At 41.3% G+C, this 26195-nt stretch overlaps 1 protein-coding gene across 5 annotated transcripts in view; it reads right to left on the reverse strand.

Annotated features, from left to right (window-relative positions):
* Positions 1–26195, reverse strand: part of SLC24A2 (solute carrier family 24 member 2) — an 800438-nt gene that overhangs the window by 85253 nt on the left and 688990 nt on the right. For 3 of the 5 annotated variants that reach the window (XM_017014592.2, NM_020344.4, NM_001375850.1), the window contains one exon: positions 4522–4572. The exons of the other annotated variants lie outside the window; for them this stretch is intronic. In XM_017014592.2, the coding sequence (XP_016870081.1) occupies positions 4522–4572 (51 nt within the window). The remainder of the gene's footprint in view (positions 1–4521; positions 4573–26195) is intronic. 5 annotated transcript variants of the gene reach the window in all.

A 26195-nucleotide genomic window follows, 5' to 3' on the forward strand; every position in this document is an offset into this window, starting at 1 on the left:
CAGAATAATTTTAGGAAAAGAGCCACGTTCAATTTATTGAGAATTTTCTAGAGTAAGAATGGTATGAAATTTGGGTATCTGCAGATGAGAAATAAGCTATGCATTATTAACTTTAAAAGTTGGAGATTGCTCTTCCAAAAATATGCAGTATCACTGTATGAGAAGATAAGGTGACTGCTGCCTGTGTAGGGGTAGCTGAAGTTACCAAAAGACATTTTTGTCCCTAGAAACATCTTATTACAGGGGCAAAGTCCCTGGGAGGAGTAAAGCTCACTAATTTATCATGTCTAGCAAAATGTCTCATTCAGAGAAGGTGCTCAGTTATTATTAAGTGAATGTGCTAGTACAGGTGGCAGGTAAGACAGGTTGTCATCTTGGGACACATGAACATGGCAGTGGAGACATCGCCTGCCAGGCACAGTGCTGTGAGCTTTATGAATTCTGCCTGCCCTCACTTCCCAAGATAAGAAAGATGCCTTCCACTGGGCTGTTCCAGCACCTAGGGTCTACTCATCTCATGCCTGTGTCTCCCACAAGGTCATGAGTTCTTTAGGAGAACTGTGTTTAATCTCCTCCGCTCTGCCCCCAATCCAGCACCTGGTACATACTGGCTATTGATGAACAAATTCATGAAAGAATGAATAAAAAAGTAGATAAAATTTGGATTGGCTTGGGGTGGGGAGAGGAGGTTGGGTGTGGCCTCGGGAGCTGCTCCAGTGAGGTTCTAGAGCATCTTAGGGCTGAGGGAGACAGGGGAGGGGGAAAGGGCTCGGAGGGCAAGGAGAAACTTTTCAAACGTCATGATTTTGTCTTGCGTGTGAGAGTAAGTATATTGTTTTATTAAAATAACCTTTTCATGGCACAGTGTTCATGTAGAAAGAAATGCTTTCTTCAATAGCTCATTGTTGTCCACACCGTGATGCCCTCATTCTTAGTCTATGGTATCCATCAAGCATTTCTTCCCACTCCCTATGCTGTAGCCAATTCCATCTGCCCCTGTTCCACTCCCCATCTTGTACAACAAGCTGCAGTGGAACCCAAAGGGCGGGGCTTTGGGGGGACACAGTGCTGAGTTCAGGGTCTGCATCACCACTTATCACCTCTGAGTCCCAGAACAAATTAGTCTGCTTCTCTGAGTCTTAGTTTCCTCATCTAATAAAATAACTCTTTGAGCCTTGGTTTTCTCCTCTTCAATAAAATACACTTTTATGATCATTATGATAGATGATATAGAATATATATAAGCCCACAGCACTGCACCCAGCAGTGGGAGACACCCAGTGAACGTTGGTGTGCATCTATCCCTTCATCCTTTTCTTAGCCTAGTAGTTCACCCTTCTTTCCTGATTTACCTCATATTTACTAATTCTTTAGGGCCCAGTTTAAAGATCACCTTCTCCACAAAATCTCCTCCCACACCTCACCCGCCCAACTTCCATGGAAAGCAATCTTTCCTCCCCTGTAGCCTGTCATCTTCTGAACACCTGTGGTACTTACCACTTTCTTCCTGGTGTCTCAGTGATTGCCGTGTGTTATTTTTTCCCCCCAGTCTGTAAATTCCATGGGGTCAAACTGCCCACCCTTTACTCTTATTTCCCCAAAGCACCCAGCAGAATAATTTGTACACAATAGGTGCTTAAAAATAATAAGCTGAATATATGTAGCACAATTCTCTATATTTAGAAATCATCTTTCAGTTCTTTTTTGGATACAGGGTGGTATATATAATGCATCTTTCCATTTGGTCCACTTAGGGAAAAAACAAAACAAAACCAACCAACCAACCAACCAAACAAACAAAAAAATGACCCAGGCTTCATTGCAAGTCATGACCTCACACAACATCCAGAGAATTCCCTGGAAACAGTTATAAATAAGGACTTGTCACATGGACAATCACAACAAAGCCCTGCTCAAAAGCTAGTCACAATTCTAAAATTGTGCAAATGCTTAACTGGAAGGGGTATTTCTCAAAGGCTAGCTAGCTAGTCCACAGTTATTGCCCCAAACATCTTTGTCTTTATTATACTTCCTTAAATTGTACAACATGAAAGTGACATAAATCACATATATTATTCTTATTTTCCAGTGGGAGGGGAGAGACCCTTGAGAGTTTGAAGAGGCCATGCCTGGCTTCTACCAGATCTGAGGTTACTGAGCTGGCTTTGAGCCTTTTAGATGGAGTACCAGAATTAGGTTTAAGCCAGACTTGGCTTGTCATGGAGGTACCTGTCGAAGGATGCAACTTTACATGGCTGGATGGACAGCTGCTATTCCAAAATATTCTTTTTTCTAGTACTTGAGAGGGATTGCTATGTATTTAGAAAATTTAAAAATCTTTCAGAGGTTCCTGTTCTAGGTGAAGGATTAACTTCAACCAGCGTTTCCACAAAGGTTCCATATCAGAAAGTCTGGGAAACACTGTCTACTCCATCCCTCTTTACAATTTATTATATGCTGCAGTACACAGCAGCATAATGAAAACTCTGAGAAGTCACGTGATAAAGAGATCTATTAAACTTAACTCAGAAGCTCTCCCACTTATTTATGGAATCAGCCTTGCCTTTTTGCTTTTTCTTTTTTTCCTTGTTGTTGAAAAATTCTTAGTGACATCCTATGAAACCAGCATTTCACTTTTAAAATGCTGCCTTTGCAGTTATTACCCATCACTGTAATGGGGATAAATTTTCAGCTAAGAATGGGACACAAAGGGATATGCGTGAGGGGATGGGAAAATCAAGAGAAGGATAAAGTATGTTGAGGGTGACCCAGGGAGGGCCCCCAAACACAATTTGACAGTTTTGCTCAGGGCCAGCCATGGTTCTCATTTCATACATGATTTTGACTGTGTTTTCCTGCTTCCAAAGCCCGGTTGTTATCAAGTGATAGAATCAGATTGGAAGTAGAATTTGCATCTTCGTCTTATCTTAAATTGTCTGGTGTAGGGAGGAAAGAAAGGGAACACTTGGACAACATTTGCTCAGATGAATGTGAGAAGAGGAAGGAAAGGAGAAGGGGATGGCAGGGAAACAAAAGTACGTAGGAGGTAGGACATTAATGATAGAAGGTAATGGACAGGATGGAGGAAAGAGAGAAAGTAAAGGGCTTGACAGGTCAGGTGGATGCTAACAAACTCCCCCTCCTAAGCCAAGAATAAAATAATAACTGGGACAGGAGCCTTCCTTAAATGTATAAATGGCTCCTTCTATCCCCTTGGTAGCAGGTACTTATTCCTACATGTAGGGTTCTGTCATTGGACCTCTTGCTGCCCATGGGTCTGCATTTCCCCAAGCTGTTGGTAGGGCCCAGTGTGAGATCCTAGTAGTGGTCTGCTGCTTTAGAAAATATCATGGTGGTTAATTTAAAGCACAGGGCTAGCAAAAGAGAAGGGCCTAGGTGTTGTGCAAAAGCCAGAGTGGAGAGGGGCTGGGAAGGGGCTTCCTCTTGCCCGGGGTTGTCAGATGTTTCACTTCTTGCATGCAAAGCAACTAGGAGATCTTTGGCAAGCTAAGGCAGCTTAGAATATTAGAAGCTGAAAGCAAGATATGCAACACATTTGGGAGTTTCTCTCTCATGCTGAAGAATAAGATGAACTGATTCCTCTGTGAGGGTACCTTTCCATTTCTTGTCAGTATCCATGTAAAAGTCATGTAAAAAACCTTAAATGTTTTTCATAACTTACAAATATTATATATTTTTAAAAAGTCGCAGTATGTATGGGATGAAATAGGGGTTAAGGCAATAGGACAGCTCCCTTTCCAAGAATTCAAAATCTTCACATTGCTGTTCCATGGCAAACCTACATCAGAAAAGAGATTCTTCCTGGGACAAGGCTATGTTCTGGGACAGTGCCTGGAATTCATTAATAAATACATCTTATATAAATCTCTACTCAGAGAAAATGGTTAAAATGATATGCCTATCCTCATGGAGTGGGAACCCTCATGTAGACAATGCTACTGGATGGAATGGTGGACCCAGCCTCTCAGAGTAATGCTCCTATCTGAAACAATAGGGACTGCAGGGAGACAGGCCATGAGCCTACAGTCCTCCACATCAGAATCAGGTGTCTAGCTGGTTCTGGGTATAGAAGATACTTCAGATCTTTCATTCCTTTGCATAAATCAGAAAACCACCAGAAAATACATCCCCCTCTGAAATAAAGGACATATTAGAAAATTATTGGATGAATGTTTCTATATGTTTTGTGAGCATGTGGGGGAAAGTACTGGCGCAGTGGGTATTTGTGTTTACATTACTGACACCATTTCTCTGAGTGTGTTACATAATTATGATGGTTTGAATTGTCTGAATGGAATAACATGATTACCCATGGTATTGCACGTCTCCAATTCCAAATAAACACAATGGCAAAAACTAGACAAAAATGCAGAAAGAATAGTAAGTCACACAATGTCACTGAAGTCATGCAGAGAGGAAAAAAAAGAATAAAAAATGGGCAAGCAACAGACACCATAAATGTAAAAAAGCCAATGCATACAATTCTAAAATCATTCTTACCTTCTTCAGTCATTGTGTCATAATATTTTAGTTTTCCATATGATCCAAGTTCTACAACATCACAGTAAAAGACACAAAGATAAGGAACGAGCTATAATGCAAGAACTTTGTTTTTACACATTTTTAATTAATCAGATTCAGAGTTATACTGTCAAATTTTGCAATCGTAACTATATGGAGATGTGCAAACATGGGCCATGTGGCAGACAGCTTTCACGGCCCATTTTCAGAAATCACTTTAAATATATTATGCTACCGGGGGTAGAGTGTGCCCTGCATTACAGAATAGGGCACAGTTATCTTAACATCCAATGAAACAGAGTATTTGGCAAAGATAACTTCACCCCAGGTCTATTGTAACCCTGTAATTTTTATAGAGGTGACACTCCGAGAGAAAGGGACTGAACAAGGACAACGTCCAGGCTCATGGAAGCTTGCAGACACTGTGATTCCTTGCCACAGAACAGCAGTTCAAGAAGTTTATTTCACAGCTTTTCTCCAACAGAACCATTTCCTAGAGAAAAAGGAAGCCTACCTAGGAAAATCTAACATGAAAAACCACGTTCTAAACTTCCCTTTCTCTTCTTATATTTTAGACAGACAACACAGAGTGCTCTGGGAGGAAAAAGGAGGCATGTTCCCAGGGAAGACCACCAGCTCAGATAAGTGACAGGGCAGCCACAGCTCCAGGACTAAGGCATTGGTGGCTGCTATGTAAACAGCAGGAGGCAGGGCAAGGACCATCAGCTCCCCCTCTGTGTACACATCATCAATGGACTCCCCCTATAATGGAAACCCCTGGCAGAATGTGAGCTGTTTTGAGTGAGCTGGTGGGAGTGGCAGCTGCAGTTGAGGGGAGAGAAGGAGTGGGATACACCATTTCTGTTTTCTTCAGTTTTAAAATAGCAACTTTTATCCTTGTTTGTCTGAAAATTCTAGATTGTTTTAAGCAATTTTGTGAGCAGGTTAAAAATATATTTTCTGGTCATAACACCACTCTCCCAATAAACTTCAAGACATTAATTAGACTCAAGAGATAGTTCTGTAGGATTCTGCAGAATGCTCCCATGGCCCATTAACTGGGCCAGCTGCTGGGAATCCTCATATGAATAAACTTAAAATTGATGGGTTTTGTGTGCAAGATGAAGGATCTAGCTTAAAATGCAATAATAAATATTCGTGTATTTCATATTTGTATGATACATCATTTACACATTTTTTCATGTGCCTAGATTTCTATCTAAAATTGTTTTAATACGCCAGCACAAAATTATATCTTGGGGAGAAAAATCACATGTTTATGTTTCTACGAAGAGCTGCCTATTCTGGACACATTACAAAAGATGCAGGTGCTTCAAAAAGAAATTGAATTTTGTATAAATAGAAAGAAAATTTTTTTCATGACTTCTGGGGATTGCCATCAGTGAAAAAAATATATACATACGTGTATATATATGTATATATATATATTCTGGTATTTTAAGAACAGTATTATATATTTGACATTGCACAACTTCGGAATTCTTAAATGACCTAAATACCTTCATAAATATAAAACACATAAATATAAAACATATGTTCATAGTGGCTTCACACATAATATATGTGTTTGCATGTGTGAGTAATCTTGGAGTAGATTAACAAATCACATCAGCCAACTAACTGTTTTGTGACCTCTCTTCCTTCCCTGAGGTAAGCAGTGGAATAAGCAGCTGGCATTCTCTACCATTTGCTCAGCAAACAGAATATGAGTGGCTCTGTGTTTGCAAAGTTGGATGTAAACTATATTCTACACAGTGACAATACACCATTGCATTTTTATGGATCCATTTTTGTAGACGCAAACCTCTGTATGCACACACTTATTTTCACATATCAATCCCAACTTTCAAATATCTGCTTGTGGCAGATGATATTACTCCTCACCTCATCTCTTGCAGAATCAGGTATAAATAAATACATTCATATTGTTTAATTATCATTTTATTTGTACATAGTTGGAATTGGAACTGTTCATATCGGACAAAGCTCACACATTCTCGACAACGTGGCAATGTCTAGATCGCTTCTTAGCTGCTTCCTTGGATATGATGAATGAGACTGAAGAACAAGAACTAGGCAGAACATAACAAAAATGAGTCTAATGATGGTGGAAGAGAAGGAAGAAGAGTAGTGAAAAGCTGAATAACAGCAGGTGTTGTGGCAACTCAAGGCGCACTGAGGAAGCAGTGGAAGGGAATGGTATCTGCCCAAACAAAGAGAACCATGTTTACAGTTTACTGAAGAAAAGTCAGAAAAGAATGGAGATGGAAACCAGCCTGCTAGAATACGGTCTTTAGCACTAACAGCAACAGGATGGTGAGATGGTGAACTCAGCAGCAGCATCCTAAGGAGGATTGGGCAGCATCTCCAGGAGCCACAAGGCCCTCCTCCCTGAAGCAGGGACTCAGGAGGTGCAGAAAGAGAAATGACATGCGACTAGGACAAAAAGCATGCATGCATAAACCAGAGCTCATCATGCACTTGGCTGGGGTCCTACAGCCCATGATGCCTCCTGGAACGTACCCTTGCCCACTGTCTATTGACAGCCTGTGGCAAGACCTAGTCTTGCTGAGAGGACCCGGGAGGCGCTCACCGGCATAGGAATGTGGCTTGCAACCAGCACACTCTCCATAATGAATAACTAAGGCACTTTGAACATAATTGGATTAGGATTCAAACTGGGGCTAATCCAAGGTTAGTTTTTTTGGGGATAGGAGGAAAGAAGTAAGGGAGTTCAAGAGTCTATTAGTTAACATTATCTAGCACTGTTCGCTGTATCAGTGAAGCAAGAGGCAGCTAGGATTGGAAGAGCCATACATCACCTGTGAATGTCATTCTGGGTACCACCTGGTGCCTCTTCTCTATAACATTTCTCTAAGAAGCCACACAGATGGAGAAGAAATTCCAGAACCCTGTGGTCGGTGTTTGAGATGAGCCTGTAATCCGATTGTAAATGCTGCCCATTATGAGAATCACACTTGCTTTCATGCCACCGTGGTGGAGCCCACGTTACTGAGATGTGATGATCCCATGACCAATTTTCTCCCTTACGTATATTACTACCCCTCTAACTCTGTATCACACTAGCCAAAAGAGTGACTTTTTTGTTTTGTTTTAAACTTTACTTTGGGGAGGAATGAAAGTTGCCCATTAGATGTAACAACTCCCAATTGTCTCACAGGGACAGATCTCGATTATGGAAAATATGGTGAAAGTCCTGAAAGGTAGGTTATAATCACAGAGGGAGATCTGAATATAATTATGTAGGAATTATCATCCTCGAACAGTGAACAATAATGTGTGGTCATTACTGTGGATCATGCAGATGGTTCATAATGAAATGCCCAAGCAAGTCCCCAGATTCTGCAACTTCTTATAAATTTGCCACTTCATTTTCAGCCTTGCTTCTCTGTGGTGTTGCTTAGCAATATCAGTGGTTACTGATTTCTGTCTTGTGAGGAGCTGACTCAGGCCATATTTCACCTTATTTTACATGCTCTGGATGATCAAGCAAGAAAAATGGGACCTAGATGTGCTTTTCTGCTGCTGTCCTTTTGAGGTGGGCTGGGGAGGGGGAGAGCGTAGGATTGAATATGCAGGTTTCTGAAAAGGATTTTTAAAGAAAAACAATAAGCAACCTAGACAAGAGAATCAACCCAAAACAATCTGCCTTTTATGAGTATTGTTTTGAGAAGTGAAGCCAGCTGGACTTCCTGGGTCTAGTGGGGACTTGGAGAACTTTTCTGTCTAGCAAGAGGATTGTAAAACGCACCAATCAGCACTCTGTAGCTCCATTGTAAAACGCACCAATCAGCACTCTGTAGCTAGCAAGGGGATTGTAAAACACACCAATCAGTGCTCTGTAGCCAGCAACGAGATTGTAAAATGCACCAATCAGTGCTCTGTAAAATTGCACCAATCAGTGCTCTGTAAAATTGCACCAATCAGTACTCTGTAAAATGCACCAATTAGTGCTCTGTAAAACACACCAATCAGTAGGGTCCTAAAAGTAGCCAATTGCAGGGAGGATTGAAAAAAGAGCATTCTGATAGGACAGAAATCGAACATGGGTGGGGACAAATAAGGGAATAAAAGCTGACCACCCCAGCCAGCAGCAGCAACCCACTTGGGTCCCCTTCCTTGCTGTGGAAGCTTTGTTCTTTTGCTTTTCACAATAAATCTTGCTGCTGCTCATTATTTGGGTCCATGCCATCTTTAAGAGCTATAACACTCACCACGAAGGTCCACGGCTCCATTCTGGAAGTCAGAGAGACCACGAACCCACCGGAAAGAACCAACTCTGGATACATTTTTACTGTGTAATTAAAAATCTCAATAACAATCTTAAGATAATTTTAAACACTGACACTGTTAGAATATTTTTTTTTTTCCTTTTTCACAAAGTCCAGGAGATAAGTGATGATATAGCATGAGGGTTGCATATATAGTTTGGAGCCTTACAGACCTTGACTTGACAACTGGGTCTGCCACTTGCTAGCCATGAGACCTTGGGCAAGTTACCTAATGTATTTGAGACTTAGTTCTCACACTTATGCAAATGAGAAAAATACTAGTTGTATTCTAGAATTGTGGTGAGAATTACAGGTGCTTAACCTGTAACTGACAGATAATATTCACTAAATATATGGTAGGTATTATTATGACTTTAGTGCATCAGTTGGTTTTCCTTCAAATTAGGAAGCTCCCATACATAGTACTCTTCTGATCTTCAAAAATCAGAGTGAACTTTGGTATCAAGAGACCTTATCATTATAATGCAGAACAAGGAGATCTTGTAGCACAGTGGAAATTTTGGAGTCAATAGATATGGGTTCTAATCCAGACTTTGCTTTTTATTACCAGTGTGACTTTGTAGTAAGATAGCCTTTCACAACCTTAGTTTCCTCATCTGTAAAATGGGGCTCATTCTAGTACGTCCCTCAATATGTTGTTGTAAGGAGCTTTGTGCTATGCCTGGAACATTGGAAGTGCTCAAGCTCATACATATAGAACCCATCATTCTATGATTGGGCCAAAATCTAGTAAGTGATGAGTTGTCCAGACTAAGATAATATGTCACAAGTGACCACCCAGGATTTGAACCTTGTTCTAACATCCTTTTCACAAGTTTATATTGGAGAAGAAGCAGGTAAAATGAGAATGACAAAAATAATGACCAATGATGTCATGCCAAAGGAAGTCTATGAATGTCATTTATATTCTTTTGTATAATCTAACATCAGGTACATTGAGACCTGATGTCAGTTACATTGGTATTATTTAAAGAATGTACAACTCAGAGAAAGAAATGACATAAAGATATTAGGTTTTGGTTTTTGAAAGGGAAGCTCAAAAGGGACTTCAGCTGTTCAGGAAAGTGGTATTGTCCAGTGGTTAAAAGAGTGTGTTCTGGGGTCCAACAATCCTGGGTTTGAACCCAGCTCCATCAGTTTCTACCTGTGTGGTCTTGGGTAAATCATTTAGCTACTCTGAACTTCAATGTCCTTATCTGTAATATGGTTATAATAAAAGTTCTTATCTTATAGGATTGATGTGGAAAATAAATAAGTTAATCTGTATAAAATGCTTAGCCCAGTGTCTGGCAGGCACATGGTAAATATTCAATAAATATTAGTTATTCCTGTTGTCACTATTATTGCCTCCCCATGCATCAATTCAGAGTTCGAGCTGAATATTCAACATTTTCTCTGGTCCCTTTTTCAGCTCTAGTTTGAAGGGAAAAAATAATATTAAAGATAGTGAAAAAATATGATTTGAATAGCAAAGAACATAGAATATCTGAAACCATCCATGCAACAGTTGGAATTCATTTCTAATTTCAGAAAATCTGTTTGAGCTCTTCTAATAGAGTATTTCTAAAATGTGTTCTTAATTTTTTGTGGGGGTAGGTGGATGGGGGGTTAGGAAACTAACATTTTCATTAATGACATCTATCATCTTGGGTACATTTTTGCTTGTCTATAAATTGAAAGATTACATTTACAAAATCAAGCAAAAGGTACTTTCTCATTAAATCCTATCAATTCTGGGCTGGGGGTTACAAACACATTTATTACCCACTCTTAGAAGTGGCAAAATATTCCATTATCTTCCTCTGCTTTTTTTAAAAAGGATTTATGAAGTGCTGTGTACAGATAGGCCTGTTGGTTTCTTTCATAGAAACAGGAGCTTGGTTATATTACATGTGACTAAGATCCACAGGGTGAGGGGAGGGAGGGGGGCACTAAGGTGATGCTGATGCTTCTGTAAGCCACACTCACAATCCAACCAGTCACAAAGTCTAATTCCACCCCTAAATATCTTCAATTCTGTCTTTTCTGCTCCATTTCCACTGCCCTGGCCTTATTCTGAGGCTTTGCCTAGACTACTGCAATGGTCTTATTTGCACTCTTCTTCCCTTATCTTTCTTACCACCTGTCTACCCCCAGCACCTTTCACCTATCTTTCTCATCATTATCAAGGTAATCATTTCTAAACACAAAGTGAAACTATAACACCTCTCAATCCTGCACATACTGTGATTTTGCGTTGGAATTTTACTACGTCTCCTAATTTACTGAATCTTTCAGAACCCCGTTGAGGTTCCCTCCTCCATGCAGCATTCCTGAATGCCCCCATCCCTAACGTTAAGTCACTTTCCTCCTGTGTGTCTGTTCCAACTATACACTTTTGTTGTTGTGCTCATCTTATCAAATGTACCTTAACCTACTTGTTTTCTGCCCTTTAAGGCAAAGAGTCATTGTACGCATTTTGTTAATTTCAGCACCCAGCAGAGTAAAGGGGCACTCTGTATGCGTTCAACAAATGCTGCTAAGTTGAATTAAATATCTATTTAAAGTGCTCTGTTAATCTTCCTCACCTTTATTACCTTTGGTACTGACACCTATGATTCTTCCCATTTTAGTGTTCTAATTCCACAGCTTCAACTATTCTGGCTTATAGTGTCTCTATGGGGAGGAAGCCCCATGGGGTGGTCTTGACTCTTGGAATCCCCTTCATTGCTTCAGTGAAGTAGGAGGACTTACATCATGCAGAAGAGCCATCAGGAGAGTCCTCAGCACACAAAAGACAAAACAGCAGCACTGTCTTTAAAAAATGGCAATGGAAACTACCAGTGCACAGAATAGATGCTGCATGCTGGCTAGAGAACAACTTGGATATACTCCTGGATCCCATCTTGTGGCCTGGCTGGATTCAGTGGTTTTTGCTAGGCAAAGAGAATCAGTGCTAATTTATATCCAGCTATTGGGTCAGCAAAGCCGAGTTTCTACCCTCTGGTGCATGAAAGCATCCAATAATATTAGAAAAATATCCAAGGGAGGAGAGGAAAACCAGTAAAATGAAAAACAAACAAACAAAAAAACTCCAGCCATCCAAGAAGGGAAAAAGGCAAGAGATAAGAGAAATATGAGAGGGCAAGGGAATTTGAGAACACAATGAAATTAAGGGAAAAAGGACTGGAAGACATAAAATTAATGCCACTGATGTGACAGTAATTCAAGGTAAAAATCCTCCTTACAATGATATATTCTACACTACAGTATTGTCTGGCATGTTATTTTCCTGAATACTTGGTTCTTTACCACAATAGAAACAATCACTCCAAATTATGAATAATTTACAGGAATAAATTTAAAGTAGAATGTTCATACAATCCTTTAAATTCCATCTGTTGTAAGTATAAATCCATGTACCATTACTCCTATTAAATACTAGACTGTATAAGTGGGATTACATAAGTCAGTTTAAAATCCAGGATGCAAAGAAAGGGTGGAAGATTAAGATATCTTTCCCAAATAGTTATGCATCTTAGATTAAATAGCAAATGCCTGCCAGTAAACCAGAGATCTGGTTACGCAGGAGGAGCTAGGGCATGCCATTATCTTTTGACCCCCAAGTGACACCCAAAGGGTGGCCTAAGAATGTTTCACCAGAATTAAAAAATTAATAGAGAGAATAAATGCTTCTGTAGATTTTTTATCAATATATTGGAAAGATACATTTTTTAGTCTGCTGAACACCTATGGACCCCAGGTAGAATTTTTTTCAAGTCTGCTCAATAGCTATGAACCCAAATGAAATCTGGCCTTTTGGAAGGAAATGAGTTAAGTATCATGTGACATGATTTCCTTCTCATTGTACAAAGGACAGGAGAACTCTGTAAATACAGAGATTAAAATTATACAGCTTTGGGATAACTTTTGCTCAATGAGAAGCTGATGAATAGAAAATCGGTTCCCATGTTATCTTATAGATAGGTATACCAGGACCTGAAGATATGGCACATGGTAAATAGGCTTCTTTTTCAGGAAAGAAAATATAGAAAAGATAATTCAAGGTCTTATGATTGAACCACTGAAAGCTGTCTAAAATTTTGATGGCTGCAAGAAAAAACGAACAACTGACAGCAACTTATTGGGCAAATGCCTACAGAGAACTAATGATGTGGCAAGCACTGTTCTATGTGCCCTACAAATAGCATTCCATTGAATACACTTAACAGCCCACGACAGATACCATTATCTTTCCTATTTTACAAAGGAGGAAGCTGAGTTACAGAGAAGTTAAGTAACTTGCCCAGGGGCACACAGCTAGTAAGAGGCAGAACTGGGGTTCAAACCAAGGTGGCTGGCTCCTCATTGTGTCTGCTCAGTAACTAACTCTGCTACTTCTCCCAAGAATCTGATGGGAAGAGGTCACCATGCACACCCCAAGCAGGGTAGAGAGGGTTTTTCTAAATGGGCACATTGTGTGATGTCACCTTTGAACTCCTAGAATCAGGTCTTCATGGTGTAATCCTCACTAGCATTGACAAGATGGGGTTTAGCTCTCAGGTCAAGAAAATAGTTGTAACCTATTCCAGATAGGAAACCTTGCATGACCTGCTGCATCACCTATGGAAATGTGTTGCATGAAAAAAAAATCCATAACTGGATAAAAGGTTTTTTCTCAGAAATGGCAGAGGAGAATTTTCATCATAAATAATTTTCTAAAATGAGATTGATTTACTATGGAATTTAACTCCTGCCAATACTGGTTGTTATGGTCTCAGGGCCTTAGAGTAGAAAGCAAAGCTACATTCACTATTGGTGTTTTGGGCTTAAGTGCTGCCATCTGGGAGGTCAAAGAGAAGTAGCCACATAGGTTACTGCAACTGCATATCTAAAGGCAGGTTCAACAACAGCACTTAAACTGGCATTCAGGGAGTTAACTAGTCTGGGGCAAGCACTGGCTAAAGTTCCCCCAGAGTCTTGTCTACAGTGGGGGCCTGTAAAGGAGAACATTCCCAATGGGGTTACCACTCATATGTCAGCTTGCAATGGAAATATGTTTCGTAAATGAATATATGAGAACACACACACACACGCACACACACACACTAAACAAGTCTGATATAGACCTGTAAACTATATAAGCAACAATGCTGATTGACTCTTTACAAATGTGTATGTGCACGTGTGTATAACATAGCCTCCTTTGAGCCCGGGGACAACCTGTGAAGGACCGTTTGTTGTGGGTGGGAGAATTCTTTTCAATGGCTGAAGTAAAGAGGCAAGATTTGGTGGATCTGATAATGTGAGGTCAGGAGAGAAATGGATCCTGACAGCCAGTTGAGGATTGAGTTTACAATATGATCAGCATGTACACATGAGTGTTGTGGCCAGTGCAAATCCCAGATGGAAGAGTCAACTAGAAAATGTGTTCCCTAGTGTCAGAGAAAGTCATCTCATCACAGAATGCAAGTCATTCAACCTCATGAAGTGAGGCCCTGCTACTTATTAAACACTCAGAGGTGTCTTTAGTGTAAATGCCTTTCATTTGGGAGAAAACACCTCTGGATGCTCTCATATCACAGATGATGTTTATATAACAATACACATTTCGAATAGGAAGTCTTTGGTAAATGAAAGTGCTTCTTCACCTTCAGTGACTGCCCCCATCCTTTGGTCCCCCAAGTAATTGCATCTGTGACAGCTGCTTTTTATCTCTGGGAACTCTGAGTCCTCCCTTCTGAAGGAGTTCCCTTTTGAGCATAAGTTCCAGAGGAGAAAGATGAAGCTCTAATTTTATGGATACTTCATTGTCCTTTTCCTTCTTCATGATATCTTTGAGCTCAAATGCCATCAAAATCATTTTTTTTTGGGCAGGGTGCAGTGGCTCACAGCTGTAATCCCAGCACATTGGGAGGAGGCCAAGGCAGGTGGATAACCTGAGGTCAGGAGTTCGAGACCAGCCTGGCCAACATGGCGAAACCCGTCTCTACTAAAAATACAAAAATTAGCCAGACATAGTGGTGCATGCCTGTAATCATAGCTACTTGAGAGGCTGAGGCAGGAGACTCGCTTGAACCCGGGAGGTGGAGGTGGCAGTGAGCCAAGATCGTGCCACTGCATTCCAGCCTAGGTGATAGAGTGAGACTCTGTCTCAAAAAAAAAAAAAAAAAAAAAAATCAACTTTTTGGCCACATACCTTGTGGCCTTTGCTTCAAAGCCAACCTTTTCATTGGAGAAAGAAAGAGAGAGGGAACTTTTCTCATACTCAAAAGCAGTTTATTTCAGTAAGACAATTCACATTCCCTTATGGCTCAAATAACATTAATTTATAATGTGTACAACACAAAGAGAGATTCAGTTTCAACCATGTTTCAAATTCAAATATGAGAATAATGCTTTACTATTCCCTAAAGAGAGGAGCTATTTAACTTGTCCTGTGTTTGCTCTATGAGAGGCATTAATGGCCTGTCCTCCTCTATCCAGGGATTGATACTACTGTCATATTAGTAGACCACGGCCAGTAGATTGGATTTTATTTTTCTCCAGTGAAGATTTTCACTCATTTGCCTATTCATTTACCAGGCGGAGGCTGCACGCAAACATCTTGGTAGTATAAGCTGATCTAAAATTTAAGATAGAAAGATTACAAAACTGCTTTTGAGAGACACCTTCTCCACTTTTTGGATAAAAGGGGGCATGAAATGACTTTCTCTTGGGACCAAACAAAAATTTATGAAAGCTCATTTTGAAGCTTTTTTTTTTTTTAAATAGAAGCTAAGAGAAATAAGCTCTGGTATTTGGTGAGACAAAAAGCAAACCCAGCAAGCAAGTGACAGTTTAATCTTAGTGTCAGCTTCAAGTTAACATTAAGTGTCTGTGTTAAAGACTTGGAAAGCCTTTACAGAACAGACAGATGTGTGAACATGTGTGGCCACAGATAGAGTCCTGTGTGAGTGAAGTCTCCAGGCTCAGAAGTCAGACTTGGGAGCTGGGTGACTATGAACAAGTCATGCCACCCCTTGGAACCGCAGTTTTCTCAGAGGTAAAACATGCATATGACTTCCCATAGCCACTGCTGAGAGAATTACATGAGATGACTTTCGGGTGTGTGGCACAGAGTGGGTACTACAAAAGTTCCACTTTCTTGTTTTCCTTCTCTACCATCTCTGAGGCCCTTAGTTTCCTGCACTGAAATCTCTCTCTCTCTCTCTCTCACACACACACACATACACACACACACACACACACGCATAGACACTCGCACATACCTAGCACCCCTCGACAGGAGAGACTGCTAGAGCGTTAGTTCAGTGGGCAAGGAGCTACATGCCTGCTCATCTCAAAGGAACCACGTTTTGGTTGGGACAATACATAGTTTGGGGTTTCCCTGAGCCAGCTGGTTCCTCTGCTCATCCAGGCTCCTTACCTCCTTCAAGAACCTGCTTTCAAAACTCACTTTCTCCAGGAACACTTCCCTGAAGGCCCTTCCTCAGGGTTCACACAATGATCTGGATTTCCTGAGGGTCTGGCAAGCCTTGCTTGCCTGCAGCCAGTGCTCACTGTGTCCAGTGCCGTGCCTGCTGTACATCCACCAGGGCGCTTGCCATGCCAGAAGGCCACTTACATGAATGTGCGCTCTCACTGCTTCAGGAATGAGGGCCATGTCCCTTCAGTTGGGGATTCAAATGCTCCAGGAAGCCCCTCTCCTGCCCCGCTTGGTGCCTCACCAAGAGCAGTTAGTGAATCTGGCCAGGGCAGTGGTGCTTATACCCTATGGCAGTGTGCCCCTCCAGGGCCACCTCAGAGGAGACCCCGGTGGCCTCTGATCCAGCCTCTTCACCAGCCTCCTGAATACTTCAGCCAGAACATCTAAAAGCTGCTCTTGATGATGCTTTTTTGTACTTCTTTGTTGAAAGTGTTGGACACTAGGACTGGGATTGAGTTGCATTTAGAGTTTAATTTGGAGAGAACTGACATCTTTATAATAGCATTTATTTAGATCTTTTATGTTCTTCAGAAATGATGATTGTGATGATTTTTGCCATAAAGTTCTTAAATATTTCTTTTGGGTTAATCTTTGGTATTTTATGGTTTTGTTGCATTTGTGAGTGGGGTCTTCATTGCTTTCATGTTTAAATAATCCTTTAGTTCACCAGTCCCCAGCGTTTTTGACACCAGGGATTGGCTTTTGTGGAAGACAATTTTTCCATGGGTGGGTGTGGGGTGAGTGGTGGGGATGGTTTCAGGATGAAACTGTTCCACTTCAGATCATCAGGCATTAGATTCTCATAAGGAGCCGCAACCTAGATCCTCACATGCACAGTTCACCATAGAGTTCACGCTCCTTTGAGAACTGAATGCCTCCTCTGATCTGACAGGAGGTGGAGCTCAGGCGGTCATGCTCACCCACTGGCTGCTCACCTCCTGCTGTGTGGCCCAGTTCCTAATGGACCATGAACTGGTACCAGTCCATGGCCTGGGGGTTGGGGACCCCTGCTTTAGTTCGATTACAGGTGCATTAGGTGAGAATTATTCCTACTCCTATGTTTCTTAAGGTGTCTAGTGCATGAATTTATTAAATATTGGTATTAGTAATACAACTGTTGTTACAATGAAAAAATGTAAATGAAAATTTGAATCTACACAAGGAAGGAGAAATTACTATAATTGTAGGAGAGTGTACAAGAGCCCACAGAAAATAAGTAAGAACCTTCATTTTTTTTGCAATTTCCTTCTCAAACTCAACACCAAATTGAGGTGGATGTTATTTTACAGGTGTTTGATTTTGTAAAAGGAATGAATGGTTAAAACAATAAACATCTTAGCTTCTTGTTGCGATGATAATTCTCTGAACATATAAAATTAGGCCTGGGGAATGTAATAAAGGAAAGAACAGTGTATTAAAGAGAAGAAAATGAAAGGAAACGAGAGAAGAACAAAGCATTTGGATGGAAGAGAGGAACAAGGAGATGGAAGAACTCATCAGGAAGGTGTGAGGCAGACAGCAAACATTTCCCATTGCAGCAGTGACTCCAGGACTAGAGAGAGATATATTCCATTATGCAGCAAATACTGACCAAGCACCTACATAATAACATCATTGCTGTGCTGGTACTATACAATGGTGGCCAAACCAGATCTGATCACTCTTCATAGCTGCAAGAGAACCATCAAGTAAATAGAACTTTGTTGGTCACTACAACAGAGCCCTTTGACAGGGCATGGATTAAGAAAATCTACATGGCTAGAGACATATAGTTCCCTAGCAGAAAAATTATAAAGGCAAGTACTCATTCAATTCATTTAGCAAATATGTACTGGGGCCCACTTGTGCCAGACACTAGGGATAGAGCCAAGCCTGCCCTGAGTCCTGCTCTGTTGGAGGAATAAGGGTAGAGACAGGCAGCATACAACAAATACATACGTTCACGGGGACAAGTGTTAAGGAGAATGCAGAGCAGGGAGAGGGAGAGTGAGAACTCGGATTCACTTTCATTGTTTTGCTTCTGATATTTTCAAAAGGTTGACTGAGTAAGGCCTCTGATCAGGTGACATGTGAAGGCTGACTTGAAGGAGGGGAGACCAGGAGCCAACTGGATATCTAGAAAAAGGGGGAACATGTGTAAGGGCCCTGAGGCAGGAGTGTGCTTGGGATTTGGAAGGAGCTGCTAGGCAGTCAGAGAAGCAGAACAAGGGAAATGACATGTGAGAGAAAAGAGAGAAGGGTAGAGAAATGAGGAGACAGGAAGGAGGGGAGACGAGGGGGCAAAGCAGGGGAGGAAGGGAGGAAGGTGAGAGACGGGCAGAGAGAGATGAGGGAGAGGAAGGAGGGGAAGGAGGGGAAACGAGGGCAGAGAAGAGGGAAGGAGGGGTGAGAGAAGAGAAGAGAGGATAGGAGGAAGAGAGGAGGCGGGAGGGGAAAGGCGGAAGGAGGTAGAGTGGGAAGTTGCAGGGGTTCTGGGGCCGCTGTACGCTCTAGGGCTTTTGCTCTTGGTGAGATGGTTTTGAGCAGAGGTGGGGTGTGATCTGACTTACATTTTAGGGGATCCAGGATTCTTCTATGGACAAGTTTGGGGCATGCCTTTTCTGGGGAAAGATTCAGGGCCACTGTGAAATAAATTGGACTCATGGGTCAGCAGACAGCCCTTCAGAAAGAGGGAAAAGGGGAACTTCCATCTCTTCCCTATAAATTGAGAACTCAAGAAGACTGGACAAAGTTACTAGGGATGGGAAGAAGAAGGTGAACACATTTGACTCTAACTGGGCTCTACTATGGAGTTACATAATGTGGTCCTGGGAAAATAGATTTCCCCAAATCGATCTCATCTGAGAAGCATGACACTTGTGAGGAACTGCTGATGAGAGGTGGGGGGAACAGAGAGTATTAAGCAGCAGGGCTGGCTCTGACAACCTGCATTAAAAAGCTGACTCTACTATCCTAGGACTGTGGCTTCAGGCAGGTAAGAAAACCACTTGGGGTCTCAGTTTCTTCATCTATAAAATGAGGATAACAGATTCTCTCTCATGGGCTTGCTGAGAGAATTGAGTGAGATAATGTTTGCAAAGCACAGTACCTGGTACCTAGTAAGTGCTCAAATGTGAAAACCAAACACTATTATTATCACTATTACTCTCTGGAGCAAGCAAGATTCTATACTGAGGTCCTTTTCTGTCCATTTCTTAATAACATTTAGCATTTAACTGGCACTTATTCTCTGCCAGGCCTTGTTGTAAGTGCTTTTCATATACTAGCTCACATACTCTTCATTTGTTTTAGTTTCCTTTTTTTCTAATTTAGAGACAGAGGTCTTGCTATGTTGCCCAGGCTGCTCTTGTACTCCTAAGCTCAAGTAATCGTTCTGCCTTAGCCTCCAGAGTAGCTGGGATTACAGGTGTGTGCCAACATGCCCAGTGTATATTAGCTCGCATACTATTAAAACAACCCTATGAGGTAGGTATTATTACTCTCTTTCTACAAATGAGGAGGTTGAGGCACAGAGAGGATAAACAAATCATCCAAGGTCACACACCTAGTGAAGGACAGAGCTGGGACTAGAACCCATGGGGGTCTAGTTTCAGTCAATCCTCACTCTTATTAAATGCTGTACTAGACTACCTCTCTGCTCATTCACTGCTCATAGTTCTTTATCAAAGACAGGAAACAAGCTGGGTATGGTGTCTTGTACCTGTAGTCCCACCTACTCAGGAGGCTGAGGTGGGAGGATCACTTGAGCCCAGGATTTCAAGTCTAGCCTGGGCAACATACCAAGACCCTGTTTCTAAAAACAAACAAAAACAACTGATAAAAAACAATTTTCATCTTGAATCATGTATGGGATCTTCTGTGTTTGGTTTCCTACTACTCAGCAGATGGAGAGAATGGCTTTGGAACCAGATCAATGTCGGTAGAGATATAACATCCATCTGGGCAGGTCACCAAGCTGCTCTGGGCCTTGGTATTTATCCATGAAGTGGGGATGATGAGATATATAAGAGACAAGTGTTCAATAAGTGGAAGCTACTATTGCCAATAGTGATAATGCTACACTTTGTTCAGTAAAAATACTACCATATAGTAGACCCTCACTTTTTAACAACTTTGTTATCTCTTTGTTCAAGGTGGTAATTTTCACCCCTGAATTTCTACTAGTCATTTGCCTTGTGGTGACTGTGATTGATCACCAGAAAAGACTGTGGTATTCCTTTCTCTGAAGTCTTTGGGAGAACATATATGCCTATATGCCTGCCAAACACAACCTGCCAGTTCCTGTCTAGAGATGGCAGCCTGGGCTGCAGAAGCTTTAGAAGCAGTTCAAGACCACGCATTTTACAATTTTCACTTCTTTGAACTGAAACCATCAAGGCACAGGATGAGGAGGACATGAAGGTGGAGAGAGGAAGATATCACCATTTTTTCTCTACGCTCCTCTTTCCCCAAAAAGGTCAATCCTAAACATCTTTATTCCCAGCATTCTATTTTCTTCTCCTTGTCCCAAACCAGAGGAAGAGAGAGCTTTTAAAAAACCCTCTCTGGCAAAAGAGGTTCTTTAAGTCTTCCTAAGTAGAAGTGGTAGCAGTAGTAGTAGTAATAATAATATCAATAACAATAATAATAAAATCCATCCCTGGTCCAGGGATAGGTCAGAGCTCTTGTGATTTAAGCTGGTGTCTACACCAGGAGAACAAGGAATGCTGGGTTGGACATGGGGTTACACAAGGAGGCAGAGTAGCAGAAAAGAACTACAAACACAGACTGTGAGTCAGGCAGATACAGGTTCAAATTCTGGCTCTGCCATTTACTTCTTGTGTCACCTTGCCTTAGTGGGGCATAGAGCCATAGCCTCTTTACATGTCAGTGTCCTCTGAATGATGGAGTAGGGCTCATGGAAGGATTAATGAGATGGTTTATATAAAGCACTCAGCATAGTGCCTGGCCTACAGAAAGTACTCTGCAAATGTTGGTTGGTGCTATCATTTTGAGACAAATGGTAGGAGAAGATACTTCTCACTGCAAAACTGCAACATCCAGCATCCTTGTTTTTAGGTTCATGAAGATGTACCCCTGAGCAAATATAAAGGCTTGTTTAGAGAAAATGTTAAAATCAATATAGGACACTGAATTTATTAGAAAGATCAATTCAGATAGCCATCCTGTGATCTCAAAGACCAATAATTCTAGTTCCCCAAGGTTTTCTTATAAAAGAAAGAAAATATTTATTCCAACCATTCATCTGCCTTAAGCAGATTCCATCTTTTCATGAACAATGTCCTGTTCAGAGTTTTGTGTCCCTGAAAAGGCACTGTTCAGCTATGTTTGAACTAAACCTTCACCTAGTCAGGCCAACTTTGTCCCCCCTACATAATGTGGTCCATCCAGAGCACACCAAGGAACAATGAACAGTGGAACCAATAAACAATGTATGTCACTGAAACAGACTGGATCACATCCAAGGTGGTTTCACCATGTTCTTTGGTATTCCTCCCTTTGAGAAGTGAAGTCTAATTTTGTCCCCATGAGTCTGGGCTGGACTTAGTGACTGCCTGACTGATTGAATGCAGTACAACTGACATCCTGGGATTTCCCAGGCTAGGTCATATAAAGCCTTGCAGCTTCTGCTTGGTCTTCCTGGAAGGTTTGCTCTTGGAACCCTTAACTACCATATAAAACATGTTAGTCTATCCACATGGAAAGGTCCTGAGACCACAGGGGGAATCAGGGGACCCAGTTGAGCCCAGCTTTCCACTGTGCCTTCCTTTGTAGGTGTTAAGCTTGAGTGAGGTCCTTTCAGACCTTCTAACCTACCCATCTACCAGCTAAATACCATCAAATGACCTCCAATGATGCCACATGGAACAGAAAACTCACCCAGGTAATCCCTGCTCAAATTTCGAATCCACAAAATTATGAGTAATAAGATGGTGGCAGTTATAAGCCACTAAGTCTTGGGGTGCTTTGTTACACATCAACAGATAATAAAACGCAAACACTGCTGGACTCTTGTGACTCAGGCTCAGAGGCGGAACCAACCACTAATGAAGGCTTTTGGCAAGGGCTCATTCACTGGATTTTGGAAGACAACAACACCTGAGTGGCACAGATGAGACAAAGGGGAATGTGTTTCTGTAGGCCATCTGTCCTAGATGCTGCTTTCAAATGAATTTGAATAGTTCCCTTTTGAACATACACCAAATGCCAGTAGTGCCAATGCACTACCCAGCCAGGTGAACACCAGTGACATGAACGAACTGTTCTTTAGTGCTACAAGGAAGCTACTGACTGCAGCGTTCATGCCATCAACTTGGTGATGTAACTAGCATGCTCTTTGTTGTTAGAAGGTGACAGTTTGGCACAAGGACATGTGAATTCAAGTGATTAGATGCAAACTAAGAGAGATGACTATTTCTGAGAGCTGTGGGTTAATTTTTTGGCTGTTCTCGGAATGGAAAATGATTGTGAATTTTGGGGGAAAAATACCAGAGCAATCTGTTTTCTTGGCCGCCTGCTATGGAGCAATTTTAAAGCATTGAAGTGCTTTCCATATTTTCTAATCACTCAAGTCCAGAGCTGATTATGGCTCTCAGCATCTCTCAGATTCACACCACTGTAGCCTCCCACATCTTTCAGGGAGAGGTTTCACCTTGAAAGCAGGTGCCTGGATTCAGGAGGCACATCTTGCTACAGCAGGAATACAGTTTAATTGTAGCACAGCTCCACAAGGGCCAGGCGTTTTGGAAAATCACTGATGGCCCAACTCTGAGACAACCTAGATTCACTTTCCCTTATCTCACAAAAACAAAACATAACCTCTTCTCCAAACAGAAAAAACAAAAACAAGCCCTACCAGAAACTGAATTCTTCCAAACAAAAACCAGGAACATTTAGATTATTGAGACCTGTGGGCAAGGACATGACCACATTCACAGGCGTGCACACACACACACACACACACACACACACACACACACACACACAGTTGCATATGATTAAACATCTCTAGAAGGAGCTTCATGAAACTGGAAACTGTGGTTTCCTCTGTGGAGAATTGGGGAACTGGAGAAAATTAGAGGGTTGATGAAGGAAGAAGACATTTTTTTTCACCTTAATCTTTGGAATATTTTGAATTTTTAAAAATCATATATTGTGTTACTTTTCAAAATAATGAAGTAGAATAATTCCAAACCTGCATATGGCAATTAAGATGTGCTAGGCTGTGTATTTAACGCTTTGTGTATATTCACATTTTAATCCTTACAATAACACTATGATGCAGACATCATTATGTATTTTCCTGATTTTACAGATGAGGAAACTGAGATACGGAAAGATTAGGTGACTTGTCCGAGGTCACACAGCTAGTAAATGCAGAACTGGGATCTGGACCCAGAGTCTGGTTCGGGAGTCTGTCGTTTTAATTGCTACATAATACTGCCTTGCCCAAAATAAACATACTCAGGCCCTTTATCATACTTGAGTTGGAGTAGATAAAATTGTTCCTTTCTTCTCTCGCATGGTCAATATCAGGTCAATATCATGACTTTGAACAAGTTGCCTAATCTTCCTGAGCCTTCATCGCTAGTATGTACCAGGTATTCTTCTAGGCTTTGTGGGTAACTAGTGAATAAAATAGAGTCCCTGGTCTCAAGAAACTTCCTGTATCCTGGCAGAAACAGGCAATAAATAAACAATCACAGAAACCATGATATAAGCAGTAAAGAAAAATTAAAGGTTCATTGGCAGATGAGGATTGGGAACCCTGATTTATGCTGAATGGTCAGGAAGTATTTACACAGAGTGCTGAAAAATGGGCAGGAGTAACGCAGGGAAAAATGGAAGGGGGTGGGGGAAAGGAAAATATTATAGTGGAGAGAACAGCCTATGGAAAAACCTGGGGCAGGGAAGGGGTGTTTGTCTGAAGACAGAAAGGTCTGTGTGACTAAAACAGAGTGAAATTGAGTTTGGAGCAAGAGGCAGATCATGTAGACCAGCGGTCCCCAAGCTTTTCTACACCAGACACTGGGTCTTGGGGAAGACAATTTTTCCATGGCCAGGTCAAGGAGGATGATTTGGGGATGAAACTGTTCCACCTCGGATCATCAGGCATTAAATTCGAATAAGGAGCACACAACCTAGATCTCTCATGCACAGTTCGCAATAGGGTTCGGCCCCCTGTGAGAATCTAATGCAAATGCTGATTTGAGAGGAGGGGGAGCTCAGGCGGTAATGCCTGCTGTCCTCCTGCTGGTACCAGTCCGTGGTCTGGGGGTTGGGGACCCCTGTCATAGACCATGATTTGGCTCACGTCCCACCCTCCAACTGCCATCTAACATGTTTGAATTGTGCATCCTATCAGCAAAATTTTTAAATGTATATAAATAGGTATCTATATTCATATCTATATCTATATTCCTATTATATATAGATACAAGTACTAAAACATGAACAGAAACATTTTCAAAAATAGAAGCTAAGAAGAATGACAACGTAAATGATGAAGGTGCTGATATTTTCTCCTTGCTTCCCAAAGGATCGTCTTGCATATCTCCTGATCTACCTCATCTTCACCCCGGGACTACAGCTCTAATCCAGAAAGCAGTATGGCCTGTTTTAAGTGAGATTCAAAGAAACAGAACCATGAGAACTCTCCTGACTTTGAGGGGGGCTCCTTTTGCACAAACTACTAGTTGTGCAAGGATTTCACAATTTTCCTAAGAGCCCTGGGAAGCCACTGAATGTTATAAGTAGAAATGACATAACCTGATTTACTTTTTAAGAAGATTACTTGGGCTGCTGCATGGAACATATGTCTAGGCAGTGGCAATGGAAGAACTGAAAGACCAGCTAGGAAGCTACTGCAGGAATGCAGGAATGCAGGCAAGCGATGGAGATGGTTTGGAATAAAGTGCTGCAGGAGGGAGAGCAGTAGATACATTTGAGATCCATGTTGGTGGTGCTATATTTTGTGAAAGTAGAATAATAATGTTAGCTATGAAGCATTATTGTGAAGCATAAGTTTACAGAGGTGAAAATGCTTTGTCAACTGTAAGGTGCCAAAGATAACTATTAATATTACTATAGATGATGAAACCAAATACTAGAGAGACCCTAACTTGCCCAAAGTCACACAACTGCTTAGTAGTTGGGAGGAAGGAGTTAAAGCAGTCGGCCTGCAATCTCTTTACTCCCTTCTCTGGGGGTATATCCCAGGGGAAAGAAAAGAAGGCTCATGACCAGGTCTAACATCCTTGTCAAATGGACCTCCGTGTAGATAGAGTAATGATATTTAGGATGTCCCTGGCTAAGAATTACCTCTAGTAAACAGATCCCAGGACCTGTGGAGGAAGGCTTCTTGGAGAATATCACATCAGCTATACAACTCTCTGTGGTATAACAGGAAGATGATTTGTGATTGAAACGCCCCATGCTCTGCAAGGAGAGGCGACCCTGTGTTCCTTACCTATTATTCTGAGTGAGGTGCATGTCCAATGAAGGAAGATAGGTCCTTGGGAGCCACTCTTGGGTCACAGATTTTTCTTTACCTCATATGAACTTCTTGATTGCTTATATTCTTGAAATTATTTAGCAAAGCCTTATATTGGGTAAGATCTCTGATTCATACAACATGATTCGACAATCAGATCCCCTGGCTTCATTCAGTGGCACGTATCTATTTCCTAGGCTGTATTAGCTCCTGTGTAACATTGAGCCCAATTATAAAGTCCAAGGATGAAGGGAGAACATACTTGGTTATATTTGAACCCCTTACTAGTGACAAAACTAATATTTATTTGACACATCCGATATCTATCAACTTGAAAATAATTTTGGGGAATATTTAT

The sequence above is a fragment of the Homo sapiens genome, chromosome 9 (assembly GCF_000001405.40).
Source record: "Homo sapiens chromosome 9, GRCh38.p14 Primary Assembly".
Classification (NCBI taxonomy): Eukaryota; Metazoa; Chordata; class Mammalia; order Primates; family Hominidae; genus Homo; species Homo sapiens.